Genomic DNA, 24,545 nt, shown 5'->3' on the forward strand with positions numbered 1-24,545 from the left:
AATAAAATTCCATTATATGGGTAGACCAAATTTCCTTTATCTATTTATCTGTCAATGGACACTATATCTTGGCTATTATAAATAATTGTACCGTGAACATGGGAGTGCAGAAATCTCTTTATGATTCTGATTTTAAATCCTTTGGATCCACACCCAGAATTGGGATTGCGGGATCATATGGCAGTTCTACTTCTAATTTTTTTGAGAACCTCCATTCCATTTTTTATAGCTGTTGCCTCATTCTCTTTATATAGGATAGATATTAACCCTTTATGAAAATATAATTAAAATACTTTCTAGTTTGGTGTTTGTCTTTTGTACATGACTTTTTTTAATTAAAATACTTTCTAGTTTGGTGTTTGTCTTTTGTACATGACTTTTTTTAATTTAAGACATTTATTTTTTAATATAGTCATACCAGTCTTTTTCTTTATGGATTTTGCCTTTCGTATCATGTGTGGAAAGGCTTTCCCCAGCATAAATTTGTATCAGTAGACTCAGATTTTCTTCTGGTCTTTTCATTTATACTTTAATTGATTTGTAATTTGTTTTGGCCTAAGATTGGAGGTTTGAATATAACTTTATTTTCAGGAAATTGAATTTATTTACTTTCACATTATTTTCTTCACTAATTTGAAGTACTTATATTGTCACTTATTGGATTTTTAAATTCTTATATATGGAATCTGTCCCTTCTATTGATAAATTGTGTAGTTTTGCAGGAATATCGCAATATTATAACTTCACAATACATCTTAATATCTCAATAAGGAAAGTTTCTGTTTATTAGTCTTCGTTGTCACAAATTTCCAGGTGAAATTGAGTCATTTAATGTAGTTCCAAAGAAAAATTCTTATTCAGATTTTGATTGGGATTGCATTAAGTTTATAGATTATTTTGGAGAAAACGGATGTATCTATAATATAGATACTTCCTGTCCAGAAACATGGATATTACTATATTTTTTCAACTCTTCTTTTATGTCCTTTAGTAAAACCTGTAGTTCTCGTCCCATAAACTTAGCTTTTTACTTTATTGCACTTTTATCAGACTTTCTTCATTGTATCAAGAGTATTAATTTATGGACAATTCCTGTAGCCAACATTGAGTTATCTGCTTCTCAACTCCACCTCTCGCATGTATCACTCTGGAATTTAGTATTTATTTACCTGTTTCAATTTCTGCAATTAGTAGTGAATCTGGTAATGTCTGCATTAATTGGAAGTTGTCATAGAGTCACAAGGTCATGGGATAATGACATTTATACAGCAAGAGAGGAAAAATTCTAGTTGGTTTTCCTTCTTTGTATGTCTACTTTTCAATTAGTTCCTGAGATAACTTGTTCTGGTTTGTGTATTTGCAATTTTATGGTGACTACAGAGTGTGAATTGAGGAACAAAAAGGAAGTCTCTTATGACCTAAAATATACTTTCCACTTGTCTCCCAGGAGAAGCTACATTCCACCATTACGGGTCAATTTTTTTGGGTTAAGGTGCTCTCTTCAACAAAATGAAAATAGCTCTTGGGGAAATAACCACTTAAACTAGCCACTTAGCTCTGGCTGCTATAACAAATGACCTTATTCTGGGTAGCTTAAATAGCAAATATTTATTTCTCATGGTTCTGGAGGCTGGGAGGTCCAAGATCAAGGTACCAGCAGATTCACTGTCTGATGAGGGCCTACTTTCTGGTTTGAAGATGGTGCTTTCTTGCTGTGTTTTCACATGACACAGCACAAGCCCTCCCACTCATGAGGGTTCTACCTTCATGACCTAATTATCTTCCAAAAGCCTCACCTTCTAATACCATCACATTGGAGGTTAGGATTTCAACATAGGAATTTTGGAAGGGCACAAGTATTTAGATCATAATGAGTATTGTACCCCAGTAGTACTTAATTTTTTTATTTTATTTTTTTCTCTGTTTTTATTTTATTTATTCATTTTTATTATACTTTAAGTTCTGGGTTACATGTGCAGAAACTGCAGTTTTGTTACATAGGTATACACATGCCATGGTGGTTTGCTGCACCCATCAACCCGTCACCTAAATTAGGTATTTCTCTTAATGCTATCCCTCCCCTAGCCCCCCACCCCTGACAGGCCCTGGTGTGTGATGTTCCCCTCCCTGTGTCCATGTGTTCTCATTGTTCAACTCCCACTTATGAGTGAGAACATGAGGTGTTTGGTTTTCGGATCTTGTGATGGTTTGCTGAGAATGATGGTTTGCAGCTTCATCCATGTCCCTGCAGAGGACATGAACTCATCCTTTTTTATGGGTGCATAGTATTCCACAGCATATACATGCCACCCTTTCTTAATCCAGTCTGTCATGGACGGACATTTGGGTTGGTTCCAAGTCTTTGCTATTGTGAATAGTGCCACAGTAAACATACGTGTGCATGTGTCTTTATCACAGAATGATTTATAATCGTTTGTGTATATACCCAGTAATGGGATTGCTGATCAAATGGTATTTCTAGTTCTAGGTCCTTGAGGAATCGCCACACTGTCTTCCACAATGGTTGAACTAATTTACACTTCCACCAACAGTGTAAAAGCGTTCCTATTTTTCCCAGCAGTACTTTAATTAATCAGATTATTTCCATCTAGATTGCTATGTAAGGGCAAGACCTTAGCATTATGATATAGATACATACGTTTTAATAGTGGGATGGTGCCGAAAATAGGTGCCTGGAAGAGTAGACCATGGTAGATGGCCATGGGTGGCGAGAGGACATCACAAAATGACAAAATTGGAGGAAAACATGTGTACTTTGAGAATAGAGAAGAAATTAACAAAAAGTTAGGAGAGCTCAGAAAAGAAAAGTTAATTTTTTCTGTGGTTTGTCCTGCCTGGTTCTATAGAAAAATTGCACAAGGAATAGAGAAATAGATGGGGAGGAGGTTATAGCTGCTTTCACAGTAAGATCTATTAATTTTTCTTCCCACTAGCCCAATCTCAGCCAACAGGAGGCAGGGTTATTATTCCTAAAAACTAAGCCAGGGACAGGGTTTCTACCACAGATAGAATTCTACTGACATCAGTATAATCATTTTTAGTGACATATAGAAACAAATATCCAGGCCAGAATTACTTCTTCAAAATATCTTTTTCTCAGCTGTAATCATCAGAATATTGAATACTTATTCAATACTGCATTTTCTAAAAAATATAGCCACTTATTCTACCTAGTAGTGTGTTTGGCATCATTAGTGATGTGGTAAATAAAAAGAATCACTTTCAAACTGCTACCTTTTATGTGCAGCACTCACAGCTGCCACTTGAAGCTCAGTTTGAAGCAATCAATTGGATAAGTCAATCAATTTTCATTTTGTCCTCATCTCCTAGGTAACCAGAGCATTTATACAGACCCTTGCCAAGGAAGAACATTTAAAAAGTAATATATATTCATGACCTGTTTTCTTTGAACACTGACTTAATAGAAAAGCAAAGAGCTACCCATGCAATATTTTAAATAACAGTAACACAAATTTTATTTGATTCTGGTGAGAAAGTATGAGGGGAAACATACTATAGAATATAACATCATTATATTTCAGTCTCTTATGATCTATCAGGAATGAAAACTGCACCACCTGCTATGTCTATTATGTATTTAATGTGAATAACAAGCATCCCACTGCTGGTTATTAAAACAAATCATAAGCCATCTGACATTATACTCATAACCCATTCCCTGCTTCATGGCTCTGAGAAAGGCACAAATTGAGGGTGGATGCATTGGAGCAGATTTTTTGATGTGAGTACAAGGCATTTGGCCTCAAAGTAAGTCATTTATCTACTTCAAAAAAATCCCATAAAAAAGTCATTATGAAAATATAATCATAAAACAGTATTATTGGCACAACATAGAGGATGAAAAATTCCAGCAGTTGCAAAACGCATTAAGTTTTGCCTTACCTGAATCTTCTTGGCATGTGAAGCCATGAGAAAAATGAAACATTTGGTGTTTGTAGAAATGACTCACATTGAGGAAGTCATAGATCTTGCTTGCCTTGTTGATACAATGTGGCATTCAAATCCCACTGATTGCACAGGCTTCAAGTTTAGCTGGGCCAACCTCATCTACCTGGACACAGCTAACTGGTTTATTGGTTATTGTTTCCTGTGGGAAGTTTTTTTTTTTTTTCCCTTTTTTCCTTTTTTTTTATTATTATTATACTTTAAGTTTTAGGGTACATGTGCACAATGTGCAGGTTAGTTACATATGTATACATGTGCCATGCTGGTGTGCTGCACCCATTAACTCGTCATTTAGCATTAGGTATATCTCCTAAAGCTATCCCTCCCCCCTCCCCCCACCCCACAACAGTCCCCAGAGTGTGATGTTCCCCTTCCTGTGTCCATGTGTTCTCATTGTTCAATTCCCACCTATGAGTGAGAATATGCAGTGTTTGGTTTTTTGTTCTTGCGATAGTTTACTGAGAATGATGATTTCCAATTTCATCCATGTCCCTACAAAGGACATGAACTCAACATTTTTTGTGGCTGCATAGTATTCCATGGTGTATATGTGCCACATTTTCTTAATCCAGTCTGTCATTGTTGGACATTTGGGTTGGTTCAAAGTCTTTGCTATTGTGAATAATGCCGCAATAAACATACATGTGCATGTGTCTTTATAGCAGCATGATTTATAATCCTTTGGGTATATACCCAGTAATGGGATGGCTGGGTCAAATGGTATTTCTAGTTCTAGATCCCTGAGGAATCGCCACACTGACTTCCACAATGGTTGAACTACCCTGTAAAGGTTCAATGCCAAATGTGTCTACACATTGGAGAAAAGTAATGTTTGCCAAATGCTTACTAGAATTGAGATAAGGAATAATTTGGAAATAAAATAGTGTAAATGGGATTCTTAGTCCATGATGTACTATGTTATAAATATTCTTTTGCTGGAAACTATATCCTGGTTCTGGATCCCTGAACAAGATATAGGCAAAGACTGGATGCAGAATACTGTTTGGGGGAAGATCACTTACCTGCAAATCATCCTGGCTCTCTTTGAGTCCTTCAGTGGGAACTTGAAGAGATCACTGATTTCAGTTTGGGTCTCATTTGTAAAATAAAAAGTGTTGATAAAGAGGACATTAAGTTTCTTTTAAATCCAAAATTTCATAGTTTTATCTAATAGGATATGAGCATCTTAGGAGATTCTTCCTATCCTCACATATATCCACATAGACTATATTCATTTAAAATGCCCCCAAACTCCAGGGAGCACAAAATTAGATATTACTGAAGAAGATTTATATTAGAGTTCTAAAATGTGATTTGACTGGCTGTCTGTAGCCTTTTCTTAATATCAGAATAACCAAAATGTAACAAAACAAAAATGAAGTAACACCATGTGTTTGTATTTAAATCTGCTCAAGACAATTTTATTTTATACCAACCTGCAATTAGAATCCAACCCCAGAGATTCTGGGACCTTTTCAGCTAATGATGAGCCGACCATGTTTCAATTAATGCAAGGCTTGTGAGGTTATTTACAATCCACGTAAACACATTCCGGTTTTCAAAAATAAATTGGTACTACGGACTAAACAGTATTTGTCAAACTCGTTGATTGAATGTCCCATTTCCGAGGAGTTAAACAAGAACTTGGATGTAAACAGTTAAACATTTTTGGAAACTTCTTGATTCTTATTGGTAAACATAACAAGAGACAGAGCTTCTTTGCTTAACATAACAAGAGACAGAGTGCAGATTTAAATTTCACAAGACCTTTGTCTCCTACAGAGCTGTTTGAGGCTCTCCTGTGGTCCCTGCTGAGAAGAATAATAATCAGTATATAGGACTTTGAAAAGTCCTTTGTCACAAGGATTCAGGTCTCCTAAAACTGCTCATGAGATGTCATTGTTACCTATAGTTGATTTTAATTTTAAATATAGCCAAACCAAAGTGTGTGTATAATATATTAAAATATAAAAACATTATAATATAAAATAATGTTCTATCTGTATATATATCTCCTCTCTTTGCTTTTCTCTCCTCTGAGTCTCTGTTTCTGTCTTTGACTCTCTGACTCTGTCTTCACACTGTACACACACTTCCCAACATTAGCTACAATGTTTGGGAAAAGGCACAGTGAGAACCACAGTAAGTTTCATTTCTTAAAAGCTGAAGATATTTTCCTGTCAATTCTGCCATATAAATCTTTTTTATATCGTTCTTTCCTGTATAGAAAATGAGAGAGTTGCCTTTAGCCAAAATACTGGGATGTTAGAATATTTGGTTACATTGTTATACTATATATACTAACATTTCCACTACGGTTTCAAGTAGTTTAGGCAATTTTCAGTGCTGAATTTAAGCATGTTAGAAATATCAATTAAATACAAAGTTGAGCATTAAAACTAACAATGTTAAATGTTCGTGTTCTTGAAGGAATAACATTTTTTCCATGTGTAAAATATTTTTATGTTTTATTAATACAAAATAATTGTACATATTTATAGGATACATGTAATATTTTGATATATACATACAATGTATAATAATCAAATCAGTAATTAGGATATCTGTTACCTAAAACATTTATTATTTGTGTTGGTTACAATTTAAAATGACTCTTCCAGCTATTTTGAAATATACAACAAATTATTATTAATTAAAGTCACCCTACTGTGCTATTGAATACTAGAACTTATTCCTTCTATCTAATGATATGTTTGGACCTAATAAATAACCTCTCTTCACCTTCCACCTTTTTTCCGAGGCTCAAGTAACCATTGTCTAACTCTCTCCCTTTATGAGATCAACTGTTTAAGCTCCCATCTGTGAGTGAGAACGTTTGATATTTGTCTGTGTGTAGTTTATTTCATTTAACATAATGACCCCCAGTTCTATCCATGTTGCTACAGTTGACAGAATTTCTTTCTTTTCCATGGCTGAGTACTATTCCATTGTGTATATATATCACATTTTCTTTATCCATTCATCATTGATGGACACTGGGATTGATTTCTTGTCTTGGCTTTTGTGAATAATGCAGCAATAAATGCTGGGGTGCAGGTATATCTTTGATATACTGATTTCCTTTTCTTTTGATAAATACCCAGTAGTGTGATTTCTGTATTATACAGTGGTCTTATTTTTAGCTTTTTGAGAAACTTTCATACCGTTTTCTATAATGGATGTATTAATTTACATTCCCACCAACAATGTATAAGAGTTCCCTTTTCTCCATATTCTCACTAGCATCTATTATTTTTTGTCTTTTTGATAGTAGCCATGCCAACTATGGTGAGATGGTATTTCATTGTGGCTTTTATTTGTATTCCTCTAATGATTAGTGATTTTGAGCATTTTTTAATATACCTATTGGCCATTTGTATGCATCCTTTTGGGAAATGCCTATTCATGTCTTTTGCTCACTTTTAAATGAGATTATTTGATTTTTTTTTTTTTTTTTTGGTGTGGGGAGGTGTTGAGTTGTTTGCATTTCTTATATATTCTGAATATCAATCTCTTGTCCAATAAACAGTTTGTGAATATTTGCTCCCATTTAACAGGTTGTCTCTTTATGCTGTTGTATCCTTTGCTGTACAGAGGCTTTATAGTTTAATATAGTACCATTTGTTTATTTGAAGTCATAGCCATTTGCTTTTGAAGTCATAGCCATAAAACCTTTGCCTTAATCAATGTCATGATGCATTTCCCCTATGTTTTCTTTTAGTAGTTTTATAGTTTCAGATCTTACATTTAAGCATTTAATCCATTTTCAGTTGATGTTTGTATATGGTGAGAGCTAGGGGCCTAGTTTCATTCCTCTGCATATTGATATCCAGTTTTCCCAGCACCAGTTATTGAAGAGACTGTCCTTTCTTCAGTGTATGTTCTTGGTGCCTTTGTTGAAAATAAGTTGGCTATGAATATATGGATTTATTTCTGGGTTCTCTATTATTTTCCATTGGCCTATATGTCTGTTTTTTATACCAATACCATGCTGTTTTGGTTACTATAGCTTTGTAATATATTTCAAAGTCAGGTAGTGTGATGCCTCTAGTTCTTTTTGTTTAGTATTGCTTTGGCTATTTGGCATCTTTTTGTGGTTCCATACAAATTTTCTATTTCTATGAAGACTATCATTGATATTTTGATAGTGATTACATTGAATCTGTAGATTGCTTTGGGCAGTGGTGGTCATTTTAACAATGTTAATTCTTCCAATCCATGAGCATGGGGTGTCTTTCCATTTGTTTGTGCTTTCAATTTCTTTCATCAGTGTTTTGCAGTTTTCACTGTAGAGATATTTCACCTCCTTGTTGAAACTTACCCTAGGTAATTTATTTATTTATTTTTGTACCTACTGTAAATGGGATTGCTTTCTTGATGTCTTTTTTTAGATAGTTTGCTATTGGTGTATAGAAATGCTTCTGATTTTTGAACATTGATTTTGTGTCCTACAACTTTCTTGAATTTGTTTATCAGTTCTCAGAGTTTCTGGTGGAGTTGTTTTTTTTTTTTTTTTTTTTTTTTTCCAGACAGAGTTTCACTTCTGTTGCTTCAGCCTCCCGAGTAGCCGGGATTACAGGCATGCACCACCACTCCCAACTAATTTTGTATTTTTAGTAGAGACGGGGTTTCTCCATGTTGGTCAGACTGGTCTGAAACTCCCGACCTCAGGTGATCGCTTGCCTCAGCCTCCGAAAGTCCTGGGACCACAGGTGTGAGCCACGGCGCCCGGCCGAGGGTTTTTATTTGTATATAAAATCATGTCATCTGCAAAGAGGGACAATTTTACTTCCTCTTTTGCAATTTGAACACCTTTAATTTCCTTCCATTTCCTCGTCTGGTTAGGACTTCTAGTACCATGTTGAATAAAAGTGGTGAAAGTGGGCATCCTTGTCTTGTTCCAGTTCTTAGTATTTTCATTTTTTTCCCATTCAGTATGATATTAGCTGCAGGTATTTCATACATGGCTTTTATTATTTTGAGGTATGTTCTTTCTTTTTTAAAATTTAAATTTTAAGTTCAGGGATACATGTGCAGGTTTGTTATATGGGTTAACCTTTGTCATGGGGGTTTGTTGTACAGATTATTTCATCACCCAGGCATTAAGCCTAGTACCCATTTGTTATTTTTCTTGATCTTCTCCCTCCTCTCACCCATCACCCTCTGATAGGCCCCAGTGTCTGTTGTTCTCCTCTGTGTGTCCCTGTGTTCTCATCAATTAGCTCTCACTTGTAAGTGAGGACATGTAATATTTGTTTTCTGTTCCTGTGCTAGTTTGCTAAGGATAATGGCCTCCAGTGCCATCATGTTCCTGCAAAGGACATGATCTCATTCTTTTTTATGGTTACATAATATTCCATGGCAAATATGTACCACATTTTCTTTATCCAGTCTATCATTGATGGGCATTTAGGTTCATTCTATGTCTTTGCTATTGAGAATAGTGCCACAATGAACATACGTGTGCATATGTCTTCAGGAAAGAATGATTAATATTCCTTTGGGAATATATCCAGTAATGGGATGGATAGGTAGAATAGTATTTCTGTTTTTATGTCTTTGAATAATCTCCACACTGTTTTCAACAATGATTGAACTAGCTTACACTCCCACCAACAGTGTATGATCATTCCTCTTTCTCCAGAACCTTTTTCTAGACTTTCCAATTTGTTAGCATATAGCTTTTCATAATAGTTTCTAGTGATCCTTTGCTTTTCTGTGGTATCAGTTATAATGTCTCCTTTTTCATTTCTGATTTTATTTTTTTGAGTCTTCTTTCTTTTTTTCTTGGTTAGTTCAGCTATTGCCTTATTGATTTTGATTATTTTTTCAGAACACTAGCTTTTCATTTTGTTAATCCTTTATATTGTGTTTTAGGTCTCTATTGAGTTCTGCTCTGATCTTTACTATTTGTTTTCTTCCTCTAATTTTGGGTTTTGTTCTTCTTGTTTATCTAGTTCCTTGAGGTGCTTTGTTAAATTGTTTATTTGAAATCTTGGGCTCTGGCAGTGTTAGTTCTGTGTGAACCAGTCCTCAGGCCTGCAGCAGCATGCTTGGGTACAGGTGGTGACAGCGATGGGCTGGGGTGGGCTGCTACTTAGGCCTTCTGGTGGTGTGTATGTCTTCAGTAATGGCAGTAGAGGGAGCAGGCCAATCCTCAAGTCCTCCAGCAGCATGTGTGGTCACCAGTGCAATGTCATGCTAGGAGGACCAATTCCCAGGCACTTGGGTGGGTCATGTGAGAGGGCACTGGTGGCAGTAGAGGCAGGCTTGGTGGGTTAGTCCTTGGGGCTCTGGGAGGCATGCATGTGTGCCCACAGGCCTGTGGATGGCCCACACGTGTCCTGATGGTAGTGGACTGAGAGGTCTAATTTCCAGGCCCGTGGAGGTTGTGTGTGTATGCACTGGCAACGGTAGTCAGGGCAGCTTGATTTCTAGGCTTCTGGATGATGTGCGTCAGTGACAGCAGTGGCAGTGGCAGGTGGGACAGACCTGTCCTCAGGCTTCCAGATGGTGTGTGTGGGTGCCGATGGCAGAAGGCAGGGTTCAACCCCCCAGGTAATGTGTGTGGTATGTGGGTGCCAGCAGTGGCAGTTAGTAGATTGAGCCTGTTTGTAGGTCCTGGGACAGCACATGTAGGTATGCGAGGACCCTGCCACTGGAGGGGGATGGGGTTACTGGAGTAGGTGGGTTTGCTGTCAGTGTCAGTGGACCCAGGCTCTGGGGAGCAAATACTTTGGCTTCCTTTGTTTGTGGGGCAACCTCGCTGGTGCACTGTACTGCCCATTCTCCAGGATGTAGGGCACTGCATGGGCCAGAGTGCTAGGGACCTGATCGCACCCCTTGATCCAGACAGCGTCATGATGCTGCAGCCCTCTGGGTAGCCACAGAGGGATGTCACCAAAGCTCCCAAGATTTGGAAATTCAGGGCCTGTTGGGACGCAGGGCAGGATATGGTCTGGTGGGGACTGGGCTCTCAAAATGGTGCCGTGCTGTAGCTGCTTGGGTCATGGCACAAACTTCCTCTGGAAAAATGTCTTCTCATGGATTCCAGGCAACTGTCTATATTAGTCTCAGGATATGTGAGGGCCATGGGGCTCTCCTGTGGCTAGGATTACAGGAGTCTGCCATGGGAATGTAGACTGCTGGGGCCTTTTTGCTTACATTTTCCCCAAAATGGGGAGTGCTTTCTCACTCTGAGCTTATGCCAGCCAGGCTGGCTATTTCACTTTCCTCTCCTTCTGTGCTTCAAGCACTCCCTGTCACTTCCCTGCTGAATTCCAGTGTTCTCTCTCAGGTGCTCTATTCAGCATGTGGTTATCTACTTGCTGTTTTGGTCCTTCTTTGTGGTGGAGGCAAGTGCCAGATGTCTCTTATCAGCCATCTTGAAGCTGGTCTCCATATTCTTAAATGATACTAAACAACAATCCCATCTCTTGTGCAGTTAGGTTCCTGCCTTTGCTGTCACCACCACCTTAATTATCTCTAACTGTACCTACATCTTTAGGTCACTTCCTTCATATTTAGAGTCTTGCTGAAGAACACTGGATCAGTCAGAACTGGGTTTAATGCCTGTGGCCTAACTGCTGGAGTATTGAGAGAAGGAATCAGTTCTTTCAACCTCTGGAGTAAAAAGTGTAGCCCCAAATCTCATTTACTTTTGCAGACCTCCAGGTGAGATGAAAGTATCTCCTACATCTGTATTTGATCCATTTTGTATTCTGGCTAAACCTACTTTTTCAATATGATCACTCAATTATCTCACCCATGTATCCTGGGCTTCTGTTGAACTGAATGACTTGCTATTTCTTGTATATGTTATGTGGCATCTGATTGAGTGACTTTTGACTCATCATTTATTTTTTTTTTTGCAAAGGCTCATTTTACCTATGGTCACATGCTTCCCATCCTTGAGCGTCTAACTCAAATGCAGTCAGTTATATTAAGGTTATCATGTTCCCCAAGACAGAACATTATTCTTTTTGATAAGATCAAATACCTCCTGTTGGTAAATTGAAGTTTCAATGTAAATTATAGTCTAAAGAATAGGGAAAACATGAGGCTACAGTGAAGGTACTCAACCAAGAGAGGAAGAAAAACTAAATAATAATGTTTCTCCTTCAGAAATCTGCACCTTTCTTAGGTACTTGTGAACATGCTGTATCCTTGCCTCTGGACTTATACAGCTTGAGGGCATGAACTGTGTCTGATTATCTTGGACTCCTCTGCAGGTCTCAGTAGAGTGGGTTAACAACTGCTCAGTCTAGTGAAGAAGGCAGCCAAATATATGAAGATGGAAAACAGTCTGCTAAGTGGCATCACATAAGTAAGAAACTCAGTGGGGATGCCAAAAAGGGGAATCAAATGGACTCTCCGGAAAATCATCTCAGAGGGATTTGACCTGGAAATTAAAGGATAAATGTATTTTTGCCAAGCTGCCAAGGTAGTAGAGGGGCTAAGTGTTTGGATTTTATCTTGAATATGAAAAGGAACTTTTTAATAATAAACACTCTTCAACAAAGACTGAAGTACTTCATGAATTTATAGACCTGAAGGTGTTTAATCAGAGGCTGGTTGACTATTTTTGCAGAATTTATGGAAGAAATTCATAAACTCTTTGGATGAAACCTATGAGAAACCTGAAAATTTTAAATTTATATGATTCCTATCATAAAATTCTATGAGGGTAAAGATTAAACATGATTAGAGAATTTTTATTAGCTAAATACATATTACTTTAAAAATTAAAACCATTTATTTAACTAGTAGAGAAACATACATTTTATTCTGATTTTAAAAAAAACATGAAAAATCACTTTTGTCACCAGAACATTGAACAAATAAGACTACCAATGATAATTATAAAGCAACTTTAATTTTATTTCCCACCTTTCTTTTAAGTTCATAATATGCGATTAGTTACTCTGCTTCTCCTGGAGAAATTCTCATGTTGCATTTGTCTTCCAAATAATCTCTTGAATAACTGGTATGTCTAGATATGTGGAATAATCAAAACTTTAATCTTAATATAAAGTCAAAGCTGCAATCCAAAACCTGTATGGAGGGAGACAGGGCATGGCCAGCTTTCCTTCCTCCTCACTTTGGCTTCTGCCTTTTCTCTGTCTTCTTGCTGTGTGTGTTTCTGATTCCTCCAGGGACTTGCCAAAGATGGGAGCAAGAAAGGCCATACTAGGCTAGTACTGCTACGAGCCAACATCAACATTCCCTGGGCTTGGCAGATATTGGAAAATGACTCTTTTGTTGTATTATATGGAGATGGGTAGTAGATTCTATGTAGACCTTGTGTATTAGTTCATTTTCATGCTGCTGATAAAGACATACCTGAAACTGAGAAGAAAAAAAGGTTTAGTTGAACTTACAGCTCTACATGGCTGGGGATGCCATGCCTCAGAATCATAGCGGGAGATGAAAGGCACTTCTTACATGGTGGTGGCAAGAGAAAAATGAGGAAAAAGTGAAAACGGAAACCCCTGATATGCCCATCGGATCTCCTGAGACTTTTTCACTATCATGAGAATAGCACAGGAAAGACCAGCCTCCATGATTCAATTATCTCCCCCACCCCTCCAGCCCCTCCCACAACACGTGGGAATTCTGGGAGATACAATTCAAGTTGAGATTTGGATGGGGACACAGCCAAGCCGTATAATTCCACCCCTGGCCCCTCCAAATCTCATGTCCTCACATTTCAAAACTAATTATGCCTTCCCAACAGTCCCCCAAAGTCTTAACTCATTTCAGCATTAACTTAAAAGTCCACAGTCCAAAGTCTCATCTGAGACAAGGCAAGTCCCTTCCACCTATGAGCCTATCAAATGAAAAGCAAGCTAGTTACTTCCTAGATACAATGGGAGTACAGGTATTGGGTAAATAGAGCTGTTCCAAATGGGAGAAATTGGCCAAAGCAAAGTGGTTACAGGGCCATGCAAGTCTGAAATCCAGTGGGACAGTCAAATTTTAAAGCTCCAAAATGATCTCCTTTGACTTCAGGTCTCACACCCAGGTCATGCTGATGCAAGAGGTGAGTTCTGATGGTCTTGGGCAGCTCCACCCCTGTGGCTTTTCAGGGTACAGTCTCTCTCCTGGCTGCTTTCATGGGCTGGCATTTAGTGTCTGTGGCTTTTCCAGGTGTATGGTGCAAGCTGTTGGTGGATCTATCATTTTAGGGTCTGGAGGACTGTGGCCCTCTTCTCACAGCTCCATTAGGTGGTGCCCCAGTAGGGAACCTGTGTGGGAGCTCTGACCCCACATTTCTCTTCTGGACTGCCCTAGCAGATGTTCTTCATGAGGGCTCTGCCCCTGCAGCAAACTTTTGCCTGGGCATCCAGGCATTTCCATACATCTTCTAAAATCTAGCCGGAGGTTCCTAAACCTCAATCCTTTACTTCTGTGCACCCACAGGCTCAACACTACATGGAAGCTGCCAAGGCTTGGGGCTTCCACCCTCTGAAGCCACAGCCCAAGCTCTACGTTGGCCCCTTTCAGCCATGGCTGGAGCCTTGAACATAGAGCACCATGTCTCTAGGCTGCATACAGCTTGGGGACCCCGGGCCCAGCCCACAAAACCACTTTTTCCTCCTAGGCCTCCAGGCCTGTAATGTGAGGGGCTGCGGTGAAGGTCTCTGACATGGGCTGGAGATGTTTTCCCCATGGTATTGGTGATTAACATTAGGCTCCTTGCTACTTATGCAAATTTCTGCAGCCGGCTTGAATTTCTCCTCAAAAAATGGGTTTTTCATTCCTACTGCATTGTCAGGCTGCAAATTTTCTGAACCTTTATGCTGTTTCCCTTTTAAAACAGAATGCTTTTGACAGCACCCAAGTCACCTTTGAATGTTTTGCTGCTTAGAAATTTATTCTGCTAGATAGCCTAAATCATCTCTCTCAAGTTCAAAGTTCCACAAATCTTCAGGGCAGGGCAAAATGCCACCAGTCTCTTTGCTAAAACATAACAAGAATCACCTTTGCTGCAGTTCCCAGCAAGTTCCTCATCTCCATCTGAGACCACCTCAGCCTGGACCTTATTGTTCATATCACTTTCCGCATTTTTGTCAAAGCCATTCAGCAAGTCTCTAGGAGGTTCCTAACTTTTCCACATTTTTCTGTCTGCTTCTCAGCTCTCCAAACTGTTCCAACCTCTGCCTGTTACCCAGTTCCAAAGTCACTTCCACAGTTTTGGGTATCTTTTCAGCAACACCCCACTTTACTGTTACCAATTTACTGTATTAGTTTGTCTTCACACTGCTAATAAACACATACGTGAAACTGTGGAAAAAAAAAGGTTTAATTGCATTTTCAGTTCCCCATGGCTGGCGATGCCTCACAATCATGGTGGGAGATGAAAGGCACTTCTTACGTGATGGCAGCAAGAGAAAAATGAGGAAGAAGCAAAAACAGAAACCCCTGATAAAAGCCATCAGATCTCATGAGACTTATTCACTATCACGAGAATAGCATGGGAAAGACCAGCCCCCATATTCAATTACCTCCCACTGGGTCCCTCCCACAACACATGGGAATTCTAGGAGATACAATTCAAGCTGAGATTTGGGTGGGGACACAGCCAAACCACATCACCTTCCTTCAGCCAGAAAATCTCTCATCTGCAGTTTCTTGACATGGTTTGTCAGTCTCCAGCTTGGTCGTGTGTGAAGATGTACACCAACCTCTCTGAGCCTTTTAAAGTTAATTTTTTTTAAATCATGCTCAAGATGAGGAGAGAAATACTCTTCTTTCTCCATAGTAAAGAAGAAATAAACAGCTGCAGCACTCCAACAATATTTTTCCAAAGAAATTCTCTCTCAAATATCTAGTTTCAACTTCTTAAACACTTAAAGCGATTGCTAAAATAAGAGTTGCAAAATTGGGCTTTCGCTGTCTGTTTTTCAAATATTGTTATATTTTGATGGTCTGGCAATTCACTTCAGAACATGACTGTAATCAATATTTCTGACTTAGGGCCTCAGTCATAACTGAGGCTGAGTTCTAATTTAATAGCTGTTTATGTTAGGACCATCCTAACTTTGTAGTGAAAGGATGATCCTTTCACTACAAAGGTGAGATTCCCTAGATGCTTGCTAAATGCAAAGAATAATGTCACAGGCTTGTTCCTTGCCTTGCATAAAATATGTAACTATGATAACACTTTAATGGTGTTATAATTGTAAGATATTTTGGAGTTGGGAGTGCTCTTCTGCCCATCTTCCTAGTTTCCTGAAGTCCTGTATGAGCTTTGATGACGATAAGTTGCTTAACTGGGCCAGATATCTAATTAGCTATTAATTGCCACTCCTGTTTGTGTCTCTTGTTCTAGTAAGTCACTTTTCTTCCCCCACCTATACTTTTACCATGACATTGTTTAAATAATGGAAACACATTAGTTCTTCGTCTCTTGTGAACTTTAAAAACTTCCTTGGGTCATAAGAAAAAAGGCTTACCTGATTTTCCAAAAAGTGTTTCTCCTTGTTCCATGCAGGAAGGGCTTCTTTAGCATCCCCACACTGGTAATAAATTATTAAAGGGGTCTCATATGGACCTGCTGACAGCACTGTGATAAATACTCATATTAATTATAAAAAATAACAGTGGTCAAAAATTCAAAGTTCAACATGACTTTCAGAACAGCTTTTTCTTTTTCTTTTTTTTTCCTGAGATAGGTTTCAAATTTCAACACTGAACTTTCCGAAAAACAGACTGCAACTTGATCCTAAAGATTAGTTTAGCACACTCTACTTTTTACCTTTGTTTTTAAGGAGAAAAAAATGGAAGAAGCTCATCATAATCATGATCATCTAGTGTGAGATATACTCAGAGTCCAGGATAGGCCAGGTAGGAAACCAGGGACTATTTCAAACACTGGGCATGGGCCATCCTATGTAACATGGGATGTGGGTGTGGAACCACAGGACTTGAGGCCAGAGACCACAGAACAACTGCAGGGTTAAGATAGGGCAGGGTCAAAAAAGAAAGCAAGAAAAAGAGCCAAATGACTTCTAGACTATAGCTGAATTGAAAACCAGAAGACATTTTCAGTTAATGAGGGCGGAGTGTATGAGAACAAGGGTCACCCATTTCAGGGAATTTTGAAAACAAGTTGATAACATGCCAGACTTTGGTCTTATTGGTCTTGCTGCTTCCATGGGGATGTTTCCTGTGAGTGTGTTTAAAGGGCCCACAGGGCTCTAGACAAATGGTCCATAAGGATGCCTTTCTTTTTGTTATAAATACAGTGTAATGGCATGCCTCATTTGCCAGTTAAAAGTCATAATGGCTTATTCAGATCCATCATGCTAAGGATTACTCAGGGACTGTTGAATAGACACATGTTTCTGCTGCCAGAAAATACATTTAGTCCCCGTTTACACTATATTACATTGTTATATGTTGCTTCTTCGTGAGTTTTTTTAAAAAGCCTAGGTAAGGAAGAGAGAGAATTCATGCATATTACATTGTTACATGTTGCTTCTTCACAAGTTGTTAAAAAGGCCTAGGTAAGGAAGAGAGAGAATTCATGCCATACGTTGGCCTCATCCTCTTTTTTTTTTTTTTTTTTTTTTTAATTTCCCACAATCCTGTTACCATAGTCCATGTCGTCACAAAAGAAAAGCCTAGGCAAAGTTAGTAAATATAAAATAGGTTACTTTTGAAGAAAATATCTGGATATAGTCTATTTTCCATGTGTAGAATAATAAATCAATGGGTACCAATTTTCACAGTAAAGCTATCTGAATAATTAAAGTTTAGCTTTTCTAAACTGGGCCACATATCTAATCAGCTGTTTATTGCTGCCCGTGTTTGTGTCTGTTCCAGTAACTCACTTTTTATTCACCTGTACTTTTGTCATGGTATTGTTCAAATAAGGGAAAATAAAACTTTAAAAACTTCCTTTGGGCATAAGAAAAAGGCTGGAAAACAATACATCATAAACATAATGCATCAGTTTATGATTCTATCCACTTGTTTTATGGACATGTCAAGTTATGTGAATTAAATGATTAAAACTTAATACTGACCCTAGCTATTTATTCTTCTTTAAAAATTATATTTGCAAGCTGCTACTGAAGCCAGTGTAGAAATGATTCCTAACAGATAGAATCCCAGTCTTAAAAGATGTCACAAAGAACTGGGTTCTAATTTCCTTCCATTTTCTCTTAGTTCTAACCTCATTATAATTTTTATATTTCAAACATACTTCTCTCTTTAATTTTTTAAAAACATTTACTTTTAATTTTAAACCTTTTTGTCACATGCTGGCTTTGAATGGATTCCAGTGAGATAGCTGCTCTGAGACATACGAAGTATATGATTCATCCTGATTTTGAAGCAGGATATCTCCAGGTGGTGTTGAGCTAGTTCTCTATGAGCATATCATGAGTAGTTTAGCCCTCAGGAGTACATATCTCCACCTTAGCCCTAGCCCTAGCAGACCTCATCAAGCCCCATAGCCTCATGGAGTGGAAGACGCCTCCTCACTTCCACTCTGAGCTGTTTACAGGGATCATGGAAATATGGTTTGATGGACAGAGAGGCCTTCTGGGAATTAATGACACTGGTGCTTGTAGGATGGATACACTCTTCACCTGGGGACAGAGTCCAAGAGCCCGGCCGGGCGCTGTGGCTCACGCCTGTAATCCCAGCACTTTGGGAGGCCGAGGCGGGCGGATCATAAGGTCAGGAGATCGAGACCATCCGGGCTAACACGGTGAAACCCCGTCTCTACTAAAAATACAAAAAATTAGCCGGGCGAGGTGGCGGGCGCCTGTAGTCCCAGCTACTCGGGAGGCTGAGGCAGGAGAATGGCGTGAACCCCGGGGGGCGGAGTGTGCAGTGAGCCGAGATCGCGCCACTGCACTCCAGCCTGGGCGACAGCGAGACTCCGTCTCAAAAAAAAAAAAAACAAAAAAAAAACCCAAGAGCCCTGGAGGCGTTCAACTTCACTAGCTTTATCTAGTTTCTCGTGCATTTCTCTTTTCTCCCTTAATGTTGTCAGGAGAATTGCTGCTCAGTACATGTCAAACTTTCCCCAAGTGATGGATCATATATAGTGACACACCTCTTAGTAAAAAACCTTTTCACTTAAATTAAGCATTTTTGATATCTTCCACACTGGCAGATTATAAGACTTCAGAAAAATAATAATATATTACATTATTTTATTTTATTAATTATAAAAATTAATATATTAATCTAAAATATAATATTAAAAATGAAAACCAATACTGACTGATTGCTTTCTAAGTGATAGGCAGACTGTTAAGCACTTCACATGTATTGTTTCACTGAATAATGCGTGTTCATTTAACAGTATATTGAAGGGATGTTAATTATTCTATAAATAACTCAAAATGCAGATGCACAATTTCTTTAATTCTGCCTTGTGGAAGTGCACACACATTAGTGGCTAAGAGAAACATTTTATTTGTGTCCTTTTTTTTCCTGTTTCTTTCTGTCTGTCTCTCTCTCTTTTTTAAAGAATTGAAGTTAGTTTTATTCAAAAGTCCTACTGAGGACTGAGACCTAGAACCCAAGAGCAGTTCTGTCAGATCGTTCCAGCACAGGGCTTCAGCTCACTGCTTAGCGACCTGTGTTAGGGGTTCAGTATGTACAAAATCACATCACACTTGCTCAGAAGTTATATTAAAGCAGAATCACATCTAGGTTTGGGCATAAGAATAATTCTCATTATATATTACAGAGGTATAATCACTAACCCCATCAGACATTATTTTATGTGTAGGAAAAGGCAAAAACAAGGGTCATTCGTCTTTCAAGGAATATAGTGACTCAGGCAAAAGACATGGAAGGTCATGTGCTCAGGCCTATTTTGTCTTCAAAGTGTTTGCCTTTTTCTTAGAAACAATAATTAATAAAGTAAAAATTTTTAGTAGCTAAACCTAAGCAAAACATTACTGGCCTTAAAAGAGTCAAATGGGTAAAAATTTTGTTTTCATTAGTTTGAGGAGACCTGTAATTATATATGTTCTTAATTACTTATTGTATTTATTGGATAATGTAATAGACAACACTCTGTTGCGATCAAGAATAATATGTAAATTGGTTTTTAGCACAAAGAAGGTTTTAGCCTCTATAAGTGGTGTCAAAGGTCTAAATCAATATGTATTAGCATACTGTACTTATACTACATTAAATCTTTCTCAAGGATTAATAAAGAAAGCACGTACACATCAGTTACAACAGAAATACTCTTGGGAAAATAAAGTGATGTGAATATTTTGCTTGTTGACATACCTGAAATACGTACCCGTGGCTTTTAGGAAATCGAGCATACAATCATCTGAATTAAATGGGAAGAGGTCAAATGAGGACAATTCAATTTTTACAGCTTATCTTTTTGTTTGTTTGCTTCAGCTCACTCACTCACACACACAGATGCAGCTATGTCCCTGCCCCATGGCTTATATTTTTTTCTCACAAAGCTCATGCAAACTCTTACATACCCATACACTACTTTATAGATATGAGGTCTCACACTTATTACTTGACTTTGATGTCTTATGTATTTTAAATATGTAAAACAGAAATGATATCTTCCTTGCAACATTGTTGCAAAGATTAAATGAGGTAAAAAATTGCAAAAAAAAAAAAACAACAACAGTTAAAGGTCTTAAACATAGTAGCTATTGTTATTTTTATGTGTGTGATGATATCCTGTTACCACTATTGCCAATGATGTGATAAAACTAGCAACAGCCAGTGTGGTATGCTTATTAGTTGCCAAATACTATGCTGAATGTAGCTTTATATACCTCAGCCCATTTAATTTGAGTAGACGATATTATCCCCATTTTACAGATAGAGAATATGGACTTAAATACAGGTGTGTACGCCATTTGTTAAAAAAAGATTCACTTCTGAGAGCTCATAACAGAGTAGTTAAGAGCCTGAACGCTGTGGCCAGATCCTCTGGGTTCTAACCCTGGGCTCTGCCACTTCCTTGCACCATGACTTGGGCCAGCTGCCAATTTACTCTGTTGTCTCAATTTCTTTATTTGTGAAGTAGGAATAATATTCTTACCTATAATTCATAAGGCTGTTACAACTATTAAAGGAGGAATGTTTATGAGGCACTCTAGAATTGTGTCTGGCACATAGTAAGTGCTATAAAAGTGTTTGCTTAATAAAATAAAGAGACTTTAAATTACATTTGACTGGTAGGACAATTTCAAAAGCAATTTTTAATCATCTTGTTTAGGAAATTTTTTTCTTCTTTTTAAAATCAACTCCCAAGCACTTGGAAGGAATTTCTGTGAGTTTGTTATAACCCACAGATCTAAAAAGGTTTGTGTTAAAGTTATTTGGAAGCAATATTAGGTTCAGAAGAGGGCAAATGACGTGACATTCTCAGATCATAAACATCTTTTGTGTAAGTCATGTCCACATAATTTACTTGCAAGTTATGTTCCATCCCACTGAGGTTCCTCCAAGAGCTTGACTATCACTGGTTCCAGTTTGAGGAGCTAGGCCCCTTTTGTAGTTAACCAGAATCCATATCCACCTAGAAAACATGTAGCTCCCGAACAATGAGCACACATGGACACATGGGGGGAAACAGCACACACTGGGGCCTGTGGGATGGAGGAAGGGAGAGCATCAGGCAGAATAGCTAATGGATGCTGGGTGATATGGTTTGGCTATGTCCCCACCCAAATCTCATCTTGAATTGTAACTCCCACAATTTCCACGTTTCATGGGGGGAACCCACGGGGAAGTGACTGAATTATGGGGGCGGGTCTTTCCTGTGCTGTTCTCAAGATAGTGAATGAGTCTCACAGGATCTGATGGTTTGATAAGGGGAAACCCATTTTGCTTGGCCGTCATTCTCTCTGCCTGCCGCCATCCACGCAAGATGTGACTTGCTCCTCCTTGCCTTCCACCGTGATTGCTGAGGCTTCCCCAGCCACGTTGAACTGTGAGTTCTCCATTACACCTCTTTCCTTTGTAAATTGCCCAGCCTAGTGTATGTCTTTATCAGCAGCATGAAAATGGACTGATACACTGGGCTTAATACCAAGATGATGGGTTGATAGGTGCAGCAAACCACCATTGCACACGTACCTATGTAAGAAACCTGCACATGCCTGGAACTTAAAATAAAAGAAAAAAAAAAAAGAAAAAAAAATGTAGCTCCTTTCCTGATCCTATCTTCCACCCCAGATGGAAACTAACAAAGATCTTCTCACCTATCTACATTACTGCCACTTCTGTTGCTTGTGTGTGATACCTTTCCTCCCTCACAGGAGCATTGAGGGACAAATAAACCAAAAGAAGAAAACACAATTATCTTTACACTGATATTTAGATTCCTTACAGGGACTTAGTGTTTATAAGTGATGTAAGTATTATTCTAATGCAAAACATTCTTTTCATTCTGATCTTGGAGTCAGAGCAAGTGGTATTTTGGTTTAAAGTGATGAGATTACCCCTAGACCATCTCACTAAGGGTTATCTTTCTATTGAGAAATATCTTTTGAAGAGATTTCATGCACATCCTTTGTAACTCTTCCCAGTACTTAAAACTTCACTACCAGGAAACTAGTGGCAGAATTATAATGTTGCCTCCGGTCCACTCTGCCACCCTTTTGCAATTTGGCAGCTTCTTGAAGCACTTAAGCAGCTTGGTGCCTTCAGTCTGACACTTCAGATGTGGCCATCAGCTAATGATTCTTGGCTTGATGTTGCAGATGCAACTGTGAGCCTATAAATGAGTAACAAAGGACTTTTCTTTTTTCTAATTTGGGGTTCAGTTGCATCATTAAACGTAAGTATATTGTGTTGATGAAATGAGATTGAAAAATCAAAACATTCAGATTTCTATAGCAAATGTGTACTTAGGAGAGGTTCAAAGAATACGTGTGGAATTGAATTTTAAAAAAAACTACTTCAAGAAAAAAAGAAAAAAACTAACTTATTATGCAGTTGTCTGAAGGGCCAAATGAAGGCAACCTGGTCAGGCACTGCAAAACCCAGAAGTGTCCTAAATGTAGAGGTGGGCACAGGATTTGTTGTACTCTTTTCAATAACTATTTTCTAAGAGCTGACAATGCAAATATGTGCATCTGTTATGAAAAATTGGCACATTTCCCAGTGAACTGTTTTCTGTGTTTATCCAATATGTATTTACTATACATTACTTATGAGCAGACAGAGGAATAAGTACTTGGGATATAAAACTCTCGTCAAACTGATAGTCTGGTATTTGCACTGTTTTTTTCTAAACACTTTGGGTTCAAATCTGCATCTATTACATCTTGAGGTTTTGATTAGGTGCATGCATTATGAGTAATGTTTTATAAATATAGTTGTGAAGAAATACAGGCATTTAATGATTGGACACACAGTCTAAGTTACATAAGGCATTCTGTAATCTCCTCAAAGAACCCCAGGAACTCCCTAAATCGAACTGCTATTTGTTTTCTTCAGACTAAAATACAGCAAATAAATGAACTATGTAACAGAGGTTATATTGAAAAAGAAACTTCCTGGAAGGTTTTTCACTATATGGAAAATATGTTATAGTAGCAAACATAGGACTGAACTAGAATTTTTAAGTCTGCAAAGTTTTTATATTTTTCATATAGAAATTGTCAGTAAACATACTTTGGGTCAATTATTGATTCAGGTAGAATCTTAATATGGAGTTTGGAACAGTTGAAAACTGAGTGAGAAAACAGAGGGATATTTTCTTGAATTTTCAAGGTCAAAATCCATGCATAAATCTATGATTATACTATGTAGCTTTGAATAAGTGCATTTGTTTTGAACAAAACAAAACAATCATGGGAGTTATTGTTTTAGTGAAAGATGCTTTGCTAGAAGTAAAATGTGTTAAGTTGAAAAACATTTACTTTTTTTTTACTGTGGTGAATTTATTTAAATATTTTTCTTCTTTTTTTTAAAAAAAAGCTTTATTGAAGTATATACTTGATATACAGAAAAGTGCACACGTTGAGTGTATATACATCTTGATGTATTTGTATGTATGCGTATACCCATGATACCGTCATCACAACCAAGACACTAAACGTTTTTATAATCTCCAAAAATTTCTTTGTTTGTGTGTGTGTGTGTGTGTGTGTTGTAACAATAGTTAACATTAAATCTACCCTCTTAACATATCATAAAGTGCACAATATTGTTAATTGTGGGTACTATACAGTAGATCTCTAGAACTCGTTCATTTTGCATAAAGAAATTCTATAGCTGAAGAACAACTCTCCATTTCCCCCTCCCCTCACAACTCTCCATTTCCCCTTCCCCTCAGCTTCTGGCAACCACCATTTTATTCTCTGCTTCTATGAGTTTCACTGTTTTAGAGATCTCATGTAAGTGGAATCCTGCAGTATTTGTCCTTTGTGGCTGACTTATTTTACTTAGCATAATATCCTCTAGGTTTATCCATATCTTTGCAAATGGCAGAATTTCCTTCTTTTTCAAGGCTGAATAATAAGGAAACATTTACTATTTAAGTATTGTAATTTCCCTTGTGTAAATTGTTCCAATTTTTGTAATGATAGGGA

At 37.8% G+C, this 24,545-nt stretch overlaps 1 protein-coding gene across 4 annotated transcripts in view, besides 2 other annotated features; it reads left to right on the forward strand.

The window, feature by feature from the left end:
- Nucleotides 1–24,545, forward strand: part of CHODL (chondrolectin) — a 350,031-nt gene that overhangs the window by 66,892 nt on the left and 258,594 nt on the right. The gene's annotated exons all lie outside the window — the stretch shown is intronic.
- Nucleotides 9,970–10,470: an enhancer, noted in NCBI's record as "H3K4me1 hESC enhancer chr21:19366518-19367018 (GRCh37/hg19 assembly coordinates)". NCBI's record gives its function as "activates a minimal SCP1, AML or CMV promoter by ChIP-STARR-seq in naive H9 embryonic stem cells {active_cell/tissue: H9 hESC(naive)}" and the evidence as "EXISTENCE:reporter gene assay evidence [ECO:0000049][PMID:30033119]".
- Nucleotides 10,471–10,971: an enhancer, noted in NCBI's record as "H3K4me1 hESC enhancer chr21:19367019-19367519 (GRCh37/hg19 assembly coordinates)". NCBI's record gives its function as "activates a minimal SCP1, AML or CMV promoter by ChIP-STARR-seq in naive H9 embryonic stem cells {active_cell/tissue: H9 hESC(naive)}" and the evidence as "EXISTENCE:reporter gene assay evidence [ECO:0000049][PMID:30033119]".

The sequence above is a fragment of the Homo sapiens genome, chromosome 21, assembly GCF_000001405.40.
Source record: "Homo sapiens chromosome 21, GRCh38.p14 Primary Assembly".
NCBI lineage: Eukaryota > Metazoa > Chordata > Mammalia > Primates > Hominidae > Homo > Homo sapiens.